The 15,155-nt window shown below is 41.5% G+C and overlaps 1 protein-coding gene across 29 annotated transcripts in view, besides 4 other annotated features; it reads right to left on the bottom strand.

Moving 5' to 3' along the window:
• Positions 1-11,620, bottom strand: part of NEO1 (neogenin 1) — a 253,515-nt gene extending 241,895 nt beyond the window's left edge. For 20 of the 29 annotated variants that reach the window (XM_011521628.3, XM_011521633.4, XM_011521629.3 and 17 more), the window contains exons 1-2: positions 11,320-11,410; positions 10,507-10,828 (exon numbers count right to left, since the gene is read on the bottom strand). In XM_011521628.3, the coding sequence (XP_011519930.1) occupies positions 10,507-10,636 (130 nt within the window). In that variant the 5' untranslated portion in view covers positions 10,637-10,828; positions 11,320-11,410. Of the gene's footprint in view, positions 1-10,506; positions 10,850-11,319 lie in introns of those variants that run through there. The other 9 variants (XM_017022232.2, XM_047432599.1, XM_047432594.1 and 6 more) reach the window with 3 other exon arrangements.
• Positions 10,530-10,909: a silencer, noted in NCBI's record as "silent region_6631". NCBI's record gives its function as "represses an Ori minimal core promoter by ATAC-STARR-seq in GM12878 lymphoblastoid cells {active_cell/tissue: GM12878}" and the evidence as "EXISTENCE:reporter gene assay evidence [ECO:0000049][PMID:35858748]".
• Positions 11,140-11,459: a silencer, noted in NCBI's record as "silent region_6630". NCBI's record gives its function as "represses an Ori minimal core promoter by ATAC-STARR-seq in GM12878 lymphoblastoid cells {active_cell/tissue: GM12878}" and the evidence as "EXISTENCE:reporter gene assay evidence [ECO:0000049][PMID:35858748]".
• Positions 11,550-11,619: a silencer, noted in NCBI's record as "silent region_6629". NCBI's record gives its function as "represses an Ori minimal core promoter by ATAC-STARR-seq in GM12878 lymphoblastoid cells {active_cell/tissue: GM12878}" and the evidence as "EXISTENCE:reporter gene assay evidence [ECO:0000049][PMID:35858748]".
• Positions 11,680-11,729: a silencer, noted in NCBI's record as "silent region_6628". NCBI's record gives its function as "represses an Ori minimal core promoter by ATAC-STARR-seq in GM12878 lymphoblastoid cells {active_cell/tissue: GM12878}" and the evidence as "EXISTENCE:reporter gene assay evidence [ECO:0000049][PMID:35858748]".

Below are 15,155 nucleotides of genomic sequence, written 5' to 3'. Positions count from 1 at the left end.
CAGCCCAGTAGAGTGGGTGGTTATGATATATGTCACTTAAAGAATTGTTCAAAATTGGCTCTGTATGCCTTTGCTCTCCCTGCCTACTGTTCTAACCCAGGGCCATGACATGCCTGCAGGGGTTAGGGAAAGAAGTGACATTACTTTAGCACTAGCTCATTTATTCACACAGGTGTTTCTCAATAAGCCTCCATAGGCGAAATGAACTTTATCATTTTATATAATTCTTATTCTAGGTCTAGTGGTATCTTGAATAGTGGTATCTTCTTCAGTAAACAGAGGAACGCTTCCTCCCTTTGGAAACCCATCTATATAGATGTATGCCTAAGTCTTTGCCCCAGGCTTTCTTTTTCCTTCCTAAGTGTCATGAACTACACTTATGACTTGAACTATCATCTCTATCAGATAACCTGTGAGCCTACGTTTCTAGCCTAGACTTTTCAACTGAGCCCTAATTCTGCAACCCTTTTACAGGGATGTTCTGCTGACATTTCAGACTCAAGGTGTCCAAAATGGAACCAATATCCATTGTTCCCAAACTTGTTTCTTCTGCCACATTTTTAATCCACTTTCCACTTTAAATCACCACAGTACCTTGGGCCAAACTGGCTCAAGTATTTGACTAAATGAACTTAATCACTTCAAACCAAAATTGTTCTTTCTGTCTTAAAAGAGGTAATAGCATGTTTCAATTCCTATTTGTTACTCAAATCAATGAATAAAATATTTAACTTTCTTTCCTCAAAACAGAACAGTTTTAAAGCTTATGAATCCACATCAGGTTAGCATGAGCAGTGGTTAGCAGGAGTCAGGTAACTAACCCAATTACTCAGTTTGCTTATCACTAAGTTAAGAACCACAAGCAGCTATGGAAGTTTTGACAAATTATAAAGTTTTAAATTATTCCTATTCTTAATTACGTATTATCTATATTTATAAATGAATCAATGATTCAATAAAAGATATAGATATATGAATAAAACACATGAATAGGCAATTCTCAGAAACAATATAAACCATCAATAAAAATCTGAAAAGATGCTCAACTCCATTAATAATTTTAAAATATGAAATTTACAGAGGTTTTTTTTCTTCTATCAAATTGGCAAAAAGACTAGGAAGTCTGAAAATAACCAATATGTTGGCAAGGAAGTGTGGAAACAGACACTCTCATTTGCTGCTCAAAGGAGTGTAAATCAGCTGTTTAGTAAACAATTTGGAAATAATGTGACTACACATGCCCTCTTGCCCTACAATTCCACACCCACAAACTTATTCTATGGTTTACTTGCACATGTGCACAAATGGGGACATTTATAAACGTGGGTTCACTGCATCATTTGTTTGCAATCAAAAATTTGGGAGCATCAAAAAGAAATTGGTTAAATAAATTATGATATATCCAGAAAATACAATTTCATATGGCTATCAACACAACTCATAAATTTATACACACTCACATGGAAAGATGTCCTAAAACAAGTTAAAAGTCAGTGTGCACAGCAAAATCCAACTTGTTATTGTTGTTATATATGTACCAGATATTTTAAGTATATAATTGTATATATAAAATAGACCATAGCTATTAAAAGTGATTACTCTGGGAAGAAGGGTTGGAGTGTATGATTTCACATTTTATTTTACATAGTATGAACTGTTACATTTTTAACAATAAAAATTCAACAATTAACTTTACCCCCAAATTAAAAATCCACATACATATTTTAGCAATCAGGTTTAGTAACGCTGTTAATAAAGATAAATGTCATGGCCAGAGGGGTAGGAACCATACCCTGCCACCTCACCTCCCCTCCTGGTCACACTTCCTTTCTTCCTACCTCAGGCATCAACCTGAACCCTTACTAATTTGAGGAGAGATTAAGACTCAAGAGATTTCTGAGGGAAGATCTATCTCCCAGACAGCAACTGTATCTACAGTAGGAGGGGATAAAAGGAAAGGCCAGGGGTAGGCAATATCCATTAGCAGTAATGGAAAGGGAAAGAAATTTTCCTCAACTTGGCTGAGACAGTAACTTCCGTTTATGGGAAGATATCTCTGTGTTCTTACGCTTATTTTAAGTATCTTTCCTTGCAACTGTCACTACCTTCTGCTGCAGGGGGCATTTCCCAAGATAGTCTTTCTACCCACTTCTGATCAGCTATGGGCTCAGAAATTAGATTATACTGTTTGTTAGAACTGCCTATGAATTAAAGATAGGCTCTGAACAAAGTCCTTTGGGACTCGGAGAAATGCATTTACTTTGAAAATTATTTCTCTTATTCCCTAGTCTTCAGTTATATTCCGGAGGTAGGTTGCATAATGGTTGAGTCCTATGTAGGTGAGGTACGATTAATAAACAGGTTAGGCCAGTGCAGTGTCACATTTGTAATCCCAGCACTTTGGGAGGCTGAGGCGGGTAGATTGCTTGAGTCTAGGAGTTTGAGACCAGCCTTGGCAATATGGTGAAACCCTGTCTGTACAAAAATACCCAAAAAAATTAGCTGGGCATGGTGAGGCATGACTGTAGCCCCAGCTACTTGGGAGGCTGAGGCTGGGGATCACCTGAGCCTGGAAGGTTGAGGCTGCAGTAAGCTGTGATCATGCCACTGCACTCCAGCCTGGGTGATAGAGTGAGAGCCCATCTCAAAATAAATAAATAAATAAAAGGGTTATCACCACAAGAATTTCTGCACACAATCCCTTGAATATACAACACTCTATAAATTTAAAACAACTAGTTGCCTGGGTGCAGCGGTGGCTCACGTCTGTAATCCCAACACTTTGGGAGGCCGAGGCGGGCAGATCATTTGAGGTCAGGAGTTTGAAACCAGCCTGGCCATTAATGGTGAAACCCTGTTTCTACTAAAAGTACAAAAAAAATTAGCAGGGTGTGGTGGTGCACGCCTGTAGTCCCAGCTACTTGGGAGGCTGAGGCAGCAGAATGGCTTGAATCTGGGAGGCAGAGGTTGCAGTGAGCCAAGATCGCACCAGTACACTCCAGCCTGGGCAACAGAGTGAGACTCAGTCTCAGAAAAAACAAACAAACAAACAAACAAACAAAACTAGTTATCCTACCTCCAACTTCAAAAACTTTCAACAATTAACCAAAAAGATTTTCAAATTTTACTTGTTACATTTAAAGCTATGCTGTGAATTAAAAAATTATGAATGAAACTTATAATTTGTTATTCTATCCCTAAATTTGTAAATTATAATGCTATTATCTTAACTAGACCTCATAAATAAAGACATATTTTGGTGATTTTTTTTTTTACCACTACAGCAGAAAAACAGAAACATTCTGTTTTCAATTTCCACATAGTATCATTACAAAAATTCACTCTGCTCAGGACTTCTTAGTAAGTTGTACTATTAATGACCAATAATCAATTCTGAAAATCAGTATGATCAATCTCCAGATTTCCAAAAAACATGGGAGTAGCTGTACCCCCAGACAGCTCAATTATGAGCATTCTCATACATTCAAACACTGCAGTAATCAGAGGAAATGATATATAACTCCTTCTTGAGAATTCTAGTCTACTGGCTTTATAAAACTAAGTTAGGACTACTCTAAAGATACAGAACCAAAATTATGAGGGAAAGCAGCACTATTCCTTGATCAACAGTAACACAATGATTCCAGAATGTATTTTTCTACCTACAGCAGTAATGGCACTTTCTCTCGCCAAATCAAGTTACCTAATATCTCCCTTACCTCCACCATTAGACCAAATGCTTCCTGAGGACAGAAAGCACGTCCAATTCATCTTTATTTCCACAGTGTAGTTTTGTGCATAATTAGCCCTCAAAGATAAACGTTTGCAACCAGCCAAAATTACTGCAACTCCTAGCTTTGCCTATAGAACTGACTTAATAAAAAGTTAAATGTAAGGATTCTCGCTATGAAATAATTTTAAAGAAGGTTATTTCTAATGGTTCTTTAAAAAAGGAAAAGCAGAGACACGTAATCTGCACTTCAGACCACCAACCTGCTAACTCCTCAGAACTGAAGAACTGACTTCATTCAGTAAAATAAAACATATATAACCACCATACCTCTCTGCCTTTTCTTTATGTAAAGGGGTCAGACAGGGAATCAAAACCTGTTTACATAAGCCAGCTCTGTAACCTGGTCAATTTACTCTACATCCCTTCCAAGCCTAAGAGTAAGCATCTAATATTTCTGGTAATACTGTATCTTAAAATACCTCACAATTACTTAACACTGAAGCCATATAACTCAGCCCTAAAGCTATTTTTACACATATAAAATAAAATCATATACAATCATTTGCAAGTAACATAGACGATTTTCCAATCATATCCTACTTTGCACTACAAAAAAAAGATATACAATAACCTGAGCTTTAGCGAATGAAAAAAAGGTGACTTTTGCATCTGAAAACCAGAAATGACCAGTGTTGGAACACAATAACTGAATAGAAGTTATTAAGCTGAAATAAACCCACTGTTCCATTTTATGGACTTCAGAGTAAGAGAAACCTGGAAGGCAGAAGGGACCTTTGAAATTACTTATTAATTAGCTTAACCTTTCAGTTAACAGATGAACTTGCATTTTAAAACATGGCCTTAAGTACCCAAAGTTCACAATTAAAAGTGGTAAAACCTTCAAAAAGTTATGAAAGTATTAGTCAATGGAATTATTCTTAATGACATCATTACTTTTCTGCAATAAATGGAACCCTGACCCCCACATACACACACAAGTTAACTTTTCACCAGCAATCCTATATGGGGGAATCCAAAATATAGAAAGAATATGTTCATCACAGCATTCTTTATCACAGCAAAACAGTAAAAACAACTTCCATATCCATAACAGGAGAATACACAATTAGCAGCAGAATGCAGAGGAATAAAGAACATAGGCTTTGAAGTTGCAAAAACCTGGATTCCAATGCCAACTCTTGCACATGAAAGGTTGTGAGACCTTCGGCAAGGCACTTAATATCTGAGACTCAGTTTCCTCATCTGTGGAATGTGAAGAAATTGTCATCTTCCTCACAGGACTGTATAAAAGATTAAATACATGTGAAAGAGCATGGCACAATGCCTGGAAGTCAGGGAGTGTTCTGTAACTACTACTTTAATTAGCCACTATTATTATATTTGCTCCCTGGAATATTACACACACATTTTAAATAATGGTTATAGGAAAATCTGTATGTACTGGCATGGAACGATCTCCAACATACTAAGTGAAAAAGCAAGTTGAAAAAACAATAGGTAGTATGATCCTGCTTATCTGTAAAAAAATAAAACCATACACACATATGCACATGCAAGGGAAGATATTAAAAGGGGTTACTTATGGGTTTCAAAAATGGAATTTGTGGGTAGAAGTGATAAAATCTTTTATTCTATGTATTTTTATATTGTTTGACTGCAAACAAACATATATTTATGTATTTTTAAATAAGTTTTTAAAATAAAATGATTTAAAGATAATGTGACAACAAAGAAAAATGGTATAATGTCAAAGGAAAACATTTCAAGTTATACATACACCATGATTACAATGTAAAAAGATAATGTGCCATATAGGCAGTAAGTAGAAAGAAATATACCAAAATCATACCAGTGGGTCTGAATGCCTTTTTTTGTCACTATTTACAAAATTTTTGAATCAAAAAAACTCTCTTCATTCTAAATGAATCCAAAATTTGAGCTCTATTTTAAAATCATCTTTCACTAGCTATGTCCATGACAAAGTTAATTTTTCAAAATCGTAAACACAAAACTTCTCCTCACTTCACTTAGCTCTCCGGTCAATATGATCTTACCTACAGTCATTTCCTCTGACTGTTCTCCAATTATTGATGCAATTTTACCCAGAAACCTAAACACTTACCAATGATATGGTAAATAGCTCCCAATCACATGGAAGTCACTAATAAAATAAAGTGTTTGGAAAAAAGACTATTAAATACAGCCTCCATATAATGAGATTTATTAAGGTTACCCCAATATTTTCATTGAGGTAGAGAAAAACTCATAAGGAAGAAACCAGCAATGATCAATTAAGCCAAAAGAAAAAAAAGTCTACACTTTCAAATAATTTAATATAGTATATTTTTAGAGTTCACAAAGAAACACTGAAGCCATTCTACATAGGTACAGTACTTTATAGTTTATGAACAATTTTACATTTTATTTTTCTGACAATCCAGTTAGGTAGGTAAGGTATTATTCTTGCCTGCCTATATCCCCCAACTTACAGATGTATGTGAAGTTGCAGAACCACAAGTCATACCCCATATCCTCTGCCTTCATGTATGTCTTTTCACTATCTCACATCATGTATTAATTTTCATACAGTTTATGAAAATCAGTCATATTTCTTATCTTCTTTGAGCATTCATCCCAGAATTCTATGATCTCTTTTGTGCCTCATTCTAACAGACAGGCAGAGCAACGCCATCAGTCTTTTCTTTTAGATGACTCAGTAAGATCAAAGATCTTTCCAAAGATGACAAAACTAAAAAAACGCTAAAACTACAGCATATCCAGGAGGATGACCAAGATCACAAAAGATCTGGAAACTAAGTAATGTGAAGAGTGGCTGAAGGAATTAAGGATGGTTAACTTAAAAAGGATAAGGTTTGAGGGGAAGGGCAGGGGGGGCCCACACACACATGCACACAGGAAATGTGATTAGACACATGAAGGGCCATCATATAAAGGAATCAGATTTGTGCTGTATGGCCCTACGGGTTAAAAACAAAGGCAATTCAACATTCAGTCAACAAACATTTACTGGTTATCTTCTCTATGCTACATGTTAGTGCTACACTAGGGAAACAAAGGTGAATAAGACAACCCGGCCAACCCCTTCAGAGGTTGAGACTAGCAGAAAAGACAAGAAAATAAGTAACAGAAGATGAAAAGTACTCAGGAAGCTATGGGAACACAGAATAGTGACCATAACTCTCTTTGGAAGAGAAAGCTGGTAGAGAAAAATTCATTGACTAGATAAGGAGTTTCAGAAGTGGACAAGGTGAGAAGTGACTTAACAGAAAGAACAGCATGTGCAAAGGCACGGAGATCTGAAGCTGTGTCGTTAATCTGGAGTGGTGGAATGCAAGGTGCATGTTAGGGGTGACAAGAGATGAGGCTTTATTGGGTTTGGGAGAACAGAGGTAAAGAATACAAAGGGCCTCACAATCTCCATGCCAAAGAGTTCTAACACCCAAGCTACAGAACACTAGTAACAGATTTTAAGTAGGAGAGTGGCATGCTCAGGAAAATATTTCAGGAAGCTCATTCTAGCAGGACAGACTTCTAGAGGGTAACAGTACAGACAAAGAGATTAATTATGGAGCCACTACTGTTAGTCCAGGTGGGGATGAAGATGAAAAGATACCGATTCAGAGTCAAGAAACAGCTGAGAGGTAAAAAGCAAAAAGAACTATCCGCTATGGCAATGGGAAGAGGAGGTCTTCTTGATCTCAGCTTGGGCAAGTGGATGAACAGTGATGACCAAGACAGGCAACACAAGAAGACAAATCCATGCAATCCTTCCAACAACATGAGACACAGGGGCCAGGAACTGGTTTGTTCATGTTTAGAGAATGGGGATGAAGGAAGCACGAGGGAAAATGACACAGAGTTTAACTTCGGACTTCAGTAACCTAAGATCCTATTTAGTGAAGGTACCGAGTGGCAAGTGAGAAAGTGTGGACTAAGAGAGTCCTTAGCTTACAGGTGGCAACTGAGGGCAAACAGAGTATGTATAATGAGATAAGCTTTAGATACTAATATTTAAGTGAGTGAGTTCAAGAAAAGCCAGAAAGACAAATGAAGAATTAATCAGAGAAGAGATTAACCTGAAGATAGAGTAATGCTGAAAAAGGTAAGCAAAGAGGAAAAAATGTAAGAAGGGTGGGGAGGGTGAAAACTACAGTGAAATGTACTGTACAAAGCAACATTTTCTAACAGAAGTTATTCAACACAGAAATGGACTACCCTGTAAGGCAATGAATCACATCATGAAATAAATGGTTCAGGCAGAAGCTACAGAGTCCTCGGTGAAGAATGTTCACTCTAAATAGAGAAGACATGCATTGCACAGGCTGCTGCCATGTCATCTTCCCCAAGGTCTCTACATATCTTTTCAGTAATCTGCCCTTTTTCAGAATACCAGATTATGTTCCTACTCAATTCCAACCCTCCTCCCTTGCTGACCATTTTCTATCACCAGTCCTTTACTTCTTACTTTTTCCTCCACCTCCGTATGTCTATAACCTCAGATGGAAAAACACTTTCCATTTATCCTATTGTCCCACATCTCTATTTTTCTCCACCTTCTACTACTGAACATGTCCACTTCCCTACAATCTATTCACTATAATCCCCTATAAAAAGATTTATAAGTCTATCACTCTACAAAAATAAAAAAAATAAAACTACTGACAAAGGACATCTGATTTGCGGACAGCTTGTTCCAGTTGCTGCTTACTCAGTTCTCCAGTCTCTTGATCTCTTCCGCAGTTTTATGGCAGAACTGACCAACCCCTCCTTATTGCAGTTATTCCTCTCGCTTTTGTAATGAAGCAGAGCGGTTTACAGGAAGGACTCTGGACCGAGAATCAGGAGATCTATGTTCTAGACCCAATTAAACGACTAATTACCTGTGAGCCTCCCCACCTCCACTCCTACCCACTCCTCAGATCTCAGTTCTTGTGAGACACTCTTAACACCCAGACTAGGTTATGTCACTCCAGTACCCACTTTGTGAAAACCTATTCTCCTTTGTAGTGCTTATCACAATTACTTAATTATATAATCAGTAGATGGATGGCTATCTTTCCTACCCACACACCAGACTGTAAACTCCATGAAGGCAGAGAGCATATGCCTTGCACCTCATCTGTGCAAAATAAAAACCTGTCAATTGAGTTAATGTTGAAACAGATGTTAAGACCACTTCCTGAGACTGCTTGCATTATTTTTATTATCCTAAGTAATAAAATTACTAGCATTTTAGTTACTTACAAAATTATCGGCAAAACTTTAAACAAAAACTTGAAATTTGGTGAACTACATATGAATTTCCATATAAAATAGATCATGAGTAACAGGAACTTGTTTTCCAAAATAGTTATATTTCTCTTGCTCATCTAAGAGACAGTTGGATCAGTAACCTGCATTTCAGCACCAAAATGTGTTCTAAACCATATACGGACTGAATGTATAAGGGTACATCATGACATAAGTGATGTTTAATTTGACATTAAAACACTATTGTTTACGTAGCTGTTTAGAGAATACCGAGTGGTACTTTACGTTTAAAGCTGTTCTTTAACATTGGCAAAAGCCATGAGCTACATACACACTCTGCAAGGAAATGAAAAGTTTATCAGTCAAGTTACCTTGCAGTGTGATTTTAAATATTATTTCATATAAATCAGGGAAAAACAAGTACTGGTTCAGCGGTAAGACTGCTTTCAAATGTAAAAATATCATATCTCACACGAGTGAAAGTTTTGTCAAGTTTTATGGTACACCACCTTGGTCAAATAATTTTAACAGATTACATGCTAATTTGCCTTTCAACTGCTGAGTGTATCCTGCTCAACAATACCGTAAGGTCCTTCCCGGAAGGCTTGGCATTTTTGTTCGTTGGTCCCCTTAATAGGAATGCAGGTGGTTTCAGTAATCTATAATATTCCAAAAAAGAACTGAAAATGGCTTTTGAGGTTCAATGTTTATACAATGCCATCTGAAAACATTGTACAAGTACCTAAAATCTGATGCTTAGACAATTCCCTTGGTTAAGAGTGGTTAATAGGCTGTAAATATAGTTGTAATCCCCAGGAAAGAAGAGGCATTTCATAACGGAAACACTAACAGATACGATCACTCCGAGCCGCTCTCCAAGGCGTCCTCATCGTTAAATCAACACCAGGGGTTGTGAGCGGGCAATTGTGCCCCTCTGACACCCCCGCTCTTCCGCAGACTCGGGCTCCAATCCCCGCGCGAGGAGTCCCTCGAGACTAGCCAGCTCTTCCTCGAGACTTCGGAAGCTGGGAAATCCCTGGCCAGGGAACCAGGAGCTCAAGCCCCCTCCCCTTTCCTTTCCTGAAAATTAATGAATTGGCCGTCTGATTGTTTATTTAATGAGGTGTGTAGTGGCCTCTACTGGTGCTAGTGTGAGCACAAGAATGTCCCACTCTTACAAGTGGGATGAGCCTGGGGGAGGGGAGAGAGGCGAGGGGTGAACCTGCCTCCAGGTACAAAGCTGGGAACTAGACCCCTGCGCCCCCGACCTGCCCCCCGGCAGCCGCCCCTTCCCCGGTGGCGCCCCCTCTCGCCCTTCTCCTCCCCACCACGCGCGATCCCCTTTCTCTTCGGCAACCGGAGCCGAGGCAGAGAAGTTCCTGCACGTTTCCTCCTGGATCCTAAACAAAAACACCGCAGCCGCGGCCGCCTGAGCCGGTGCCGCGCCCCCGCGAACCCCCGGGCCCGCGCCCGCCGCTTACCTGGGGACTGCGGCGCGGAGCCGCTCCTGGCGGCCGCGGCGCCCGGCGCCCGGCGCCCGAGCAGCAGCAGGCAGTAGAGCCAGAAGGAGGGGGTGCTGAGGAGTCGCCGGGCTCCCCGCTCCGCCGCCATCTCTTCCCCGAGAGTGAGCGGCAGCGGCGGCGACAGCGCCGCGGAGCCCTTGCCTCCTTCCCTCCCGCGCGCCTCAGCCGGTCCCTCGCTGCAAGCTCGGCTCCCGCGGCCGCCGCTGCTCCAGCCCAGCCCGGCCCGGCCCGGCCCGCGCAGCCCCTCTCGCTGGAGGGGAGACTCCAGGGCGCCTCCCTCCTGCAAGGGGGCGGGGAGGGGAGGAGAGCGAAGAAGGGGAGTCAGTACATTCCGGGGCGGGGGGGGGGGGGCGGTGGGTCGGTCTCCAGGTTCCAGGCGCCGCCACCCGCCGCCGACTCCGGCTCCACACACCAGCGCGAGGGGGGCGGAGACCGCGGACGGCGGGGGCGGGGGCGGGGGCGGGGGGCGGGAGTCCCGGGCGCGCACACGCGCACGCGCGCGCCTCGCCCGCACCCCCTCGGCTCCGCGCGCGGCCCGCCCCCGCTCCAATCCCGGCTGCCGCCTCTCGGGCCGTGGCGGGCCCGCTCCCCTCCCCCTTCTCCCCGGAGCCGCTGACGGGTGCGGGGCGCGCGCGCCGGGCGCTGCTGCTGGCGTCAGGGAAACCCCGGAGAAGCGGATCCTCCTGCTCCTCCCGCCCGCTCGCCGCAGCCCCTCGGCTCCGCGCGCCCCCGCCTCCTCCTCCTCGCCTCGGGGACAAATTCCCCCCTCACCTCCCCAGATGCCTCTGGCTGCAGAGACCTGAGGGCGAGAGGCGCTCCGAGCTCAGGCTGGTCCGGGAGGCCGGCGTGGGCGCGCACCTCTGCACAGTCCGGGCCTGGAGCCTCTATATAGGGCCTCAGAGGAAACCGAAAGGCCTCCGGGAGGAAACCTGGGTGCGCAGTGGGTCGGCCCGGGGATTTATGTGCTCGCCAAAAACAATAGCGATCCCGCCCGACTCTTGCTGGGCCCTGGCGCGGCTCCCGTGGGAGGGGGCCGGCCGCGCAGCCGCTGACCTCCGGCTCCCAAGCCGGGCCGCCGTCGCCGCGCGCTTCCCCCGGGCAGCGCCGGGACCCGCCCGAACCGCGCCCCCACCCGCATCGCTCGGCCCGGGTCCAGGGAACTAGGCACAGACAAAGGTGCCCGCTGTCCACTTCCTCAGCTCGTGCGGGGGCCCCGACCGAGCCCTGGGACTCCCCGGGGCCAGTCTTCTCGCAGTAACTGCTACGTTTTACCTGTACCTTTGCGGGACACTTGGCGTTTTCCTACCTGGGAATCACGTCTTTCGCTGATAAACCAAGGAGCAAGTGGGATATGATTTTAAACCACTTAGTAATCGTGAGGCAGCACCCAGGCTACACAAAGTTAGGAGAAAGCAGTTTGTAGTTCCACTGCTGATGAGACTATTGATCATTTTATATACTGCACCCATGAAAAATTTTTAAAGAAAATTTATTTGTATGATTATGCAAGCAGAGTCACGTTTGGTGGTTGATAGGCGTTGGGTTTTATTCACTCTTCTGTGTAGTCGATAACCGAAATGTCTTGCTTCCCACAAGAAAATGGCTATTTCACTAACATATCCCTCTGTGCTTTCTCATAGTTACTTTCCAAAGATATTTTATTCTAAAGCGCCAAAATGAACAATGTAAGACATGGATTAACGTCGGGAGGGAAGAGCTCAGAATCTTCATAAAACCTTAAATCATCAAAACGGTGAAATTAGGAATTCTCATGCTAGTTCTTTGAAACAATTGACTTAATAGAGGAAACACATGCTTATGGTTTTTCACTAGGGAAACCATTTAAATACCTTTTTGTTTTGGTTAGAGTTGTTAACCAGCAAAAATATTTCCTAAATACCCGTGATTGACCTGTTAAATTAGAAATAGATTACCTCCCAATTACTTCACAAGTATTTGCTTAATTAACCTTTAATAATCACATCATTATTCAGTTTTCTGAGATAATTAATGAGAAAAGCTCTTTGAAAACTGTAAATTGCCTTGCAAATGTTAATTTCCTGATATCTTTTCTAAGTCTGGAAAAATTTCATTATATTAAACCTATAACGTGTAATATGACTTCTGAGATGAAGCTTACATTTATCTCCAAGTTTTGAAAAATACATGAGTTGTGGCTAATAACAGACTGATTTTCATATATGACTTATATGAACTGTCTCACTAATTTATCAGCCCACTGTGTATATCAGGTTAATATCAAAAAGTTTAAAACAGTTGTATATTTCTGGCTTCTGATTAAATCACAATTTTAATAAAACCCACTCTATTAAACCACTAGTAGATGGAGCCCCAGATTAAAGCTACAGATCCTAAATCAGTTCAAGATAGTTAAGTAACTCAGGCACACACTTGAATTCAGCTCCTTTACTTTGTTTCAAAGTCACTGACACTGTCGACATGCCCTTTAAAAATCATCATTGAGTAATTAACCTGTTCTTTGTTTAGTAAAGCATATCTGAGAAAAGATTTTCTTAGGCATCTCTTTTATCATTCTTATTCTCCCAACAAGATTTTCAACAAATACTTCAGCCTGCACGTATACTGCTAATCAACACTTTTATGTTGTCTAAACTATCAATCTATGAAGAGATATTAAACCACTGGTGAAATTAACAGTTTTTTCATCTAAGTAAAGTTAGAACATGAGGCCCATGTTCAAGGAATAAGTGCACAAAGAAACTTTAGAGCAAAGAAAACAGAGTGGCCATTGTGTGTCTGTAAAAGTTATCGAAATGCAGGCCAAAAATAACTAGACTGATATCTTGTGAAATTTATGCTAATGTATTTTGATATAAAAATTACATGAAATATTAAAGCCTATGAATATAAAACTTGGTAGGAATCTTATTCTCTATAGTAAAAGGATTTTTTTTTCAACATTAGAAAGGACGTACAATTCAGTGTTTAACTGCTGGCAGTAATGAGATTCTGCAGCTGATTCCCTGGCTGAATCCCAGTGTCCGAGGTTGAGAAGAAGAAAGCTAGTCCCCTGACTAGCAGATCTCAGGATAGAACACTTCCTAGTCACAGCAGACTTCAACTAGAAGTTGCCCCAGTCTTAAGAAAGTGATTTTCTTCTGCACAGAGATTGTTATTTTTATATTTGCCCTTTACATTCCACTAGGTAAGAATTTTTATTTTCTCCCGTTCTCCTTCAGAAGCCACCTGCTCTAGGGAGCCATCTCTGATTAAGCGTAATTAAAAAGGATGTGTGCTCCTTTTTAAGTACAAGCATGCTCAATATTAATTTTGCTTGTCACATGTTGCTTAGTTGATCACATATCTTTAGTTCAACAACAATCTATTAATTCAGCAAAAATTATTGAGGACCTGTTTTCACCAAGTATTGTGCTGGATGCTGGGATAACAAAATTATTGGTTCATTCATTTAATATTTATAAAGTACATCCTGTGTCTCTGGTCCTGGCTTATGTTAAGGGAAGACAGTGATGAGCCAGATAAACAAAGTTCCCAGTCTAGCAGAAAGGGTAAACAATTATAACAAAGAAGTGTAAAGACTGTTATGGTAAGGAAAGATAAGGAGTGTGGGAAAACTTAGTAAGAGCATCTAACTTGACTAAATTGTGTGTGGGGGTGGGAGAAGGAGAATTAGAGAAGCTTTGGCCTCTAAACAGAGACCTGAAGGTAGATAGGAGTCAGCCACGCCTACAGGTGGGATTTGACCTCAGATTTGCGTTTTAGAGGGAACACTGAGGCTGCTTCTTGGAGTGTAGTTTGGAAGAAGTCGAGACCAAAAAAAAAAAAAAACAGTTCAGATTTTGTTACAATAGTCTAGGGAGGAGATGATGGTGGCCTGGAGTAAAGCAAAGGGGATTAAGAAAAGTGAACAGATAAGAGAGAGATTTAGGAGATAGATAGAAACAGCAGGGGTGTGTGGGAGAGATAGGAGATGTGGGTAACTCAGATTTCAACTTGGGAAGCTGAATGAAGGTGGTGGCATTCACTGAGGGGGGAATGAGAAAGATGAGCAGATGGGAGACAATGTTAGTTTAACTTTGGACAAGGAAATTTAAAGTACCTATGCATACATAGGTACTTTAAATACATCTGAGTAGAAATATCAGTAAGCCGTTCATTACTTGGATCTGGAGTTTAGCAGGGAGATAGGACTGGAGAAGTGAGTCATCAGCATACACTACATATGCCTGAGTATAAGGTGCTTCTGAAAATAAGGTGAGCCTCCATTTTTCCAATTAGAATCCACCCCACTCCCCCAGGCCCCTCGGCGGCTCACACCTGTAATCCCGGCACTTTGGGAGGCCGAGGCAGGCAGATAGCTTGAGCCCAGGAATTCAAGACCAGAGTAGGCAACAGGGCAAAACCCGGTCTCTACATTAAAAAAAAAAAAAAATTAGCTAGGTGTGGTGGCGTGTGCCTGTAGTCCCAGCTACTCGGGAGGATCACTTGAGCCTGGAGGTCAAGGCTGCAGTGATACATTATTTTGCCACTGCACTCCAGCCTGAGTAACAGAGCAAGACCATGCCTCAAAAAATAAAAACAAAAACAATCCCCCCCCGTAAAAC

Source organism: Homo sapiens, chromosome 15 (assembly GCF_000001405.40).
Source record: "Homo sapiens chromosome 15, GRCh38.p14 Primary Assembly".
Lineage (NCBI taxonomy): Eukaryota > Metazoa > Chordata > Mammalia > Primates > Hominidae > Homo > Homo sapiens.
Note: the sequence above shows the minus strand (reverse complement) of the source record. Positions and strands in the feature narration are given on the sequence as shown.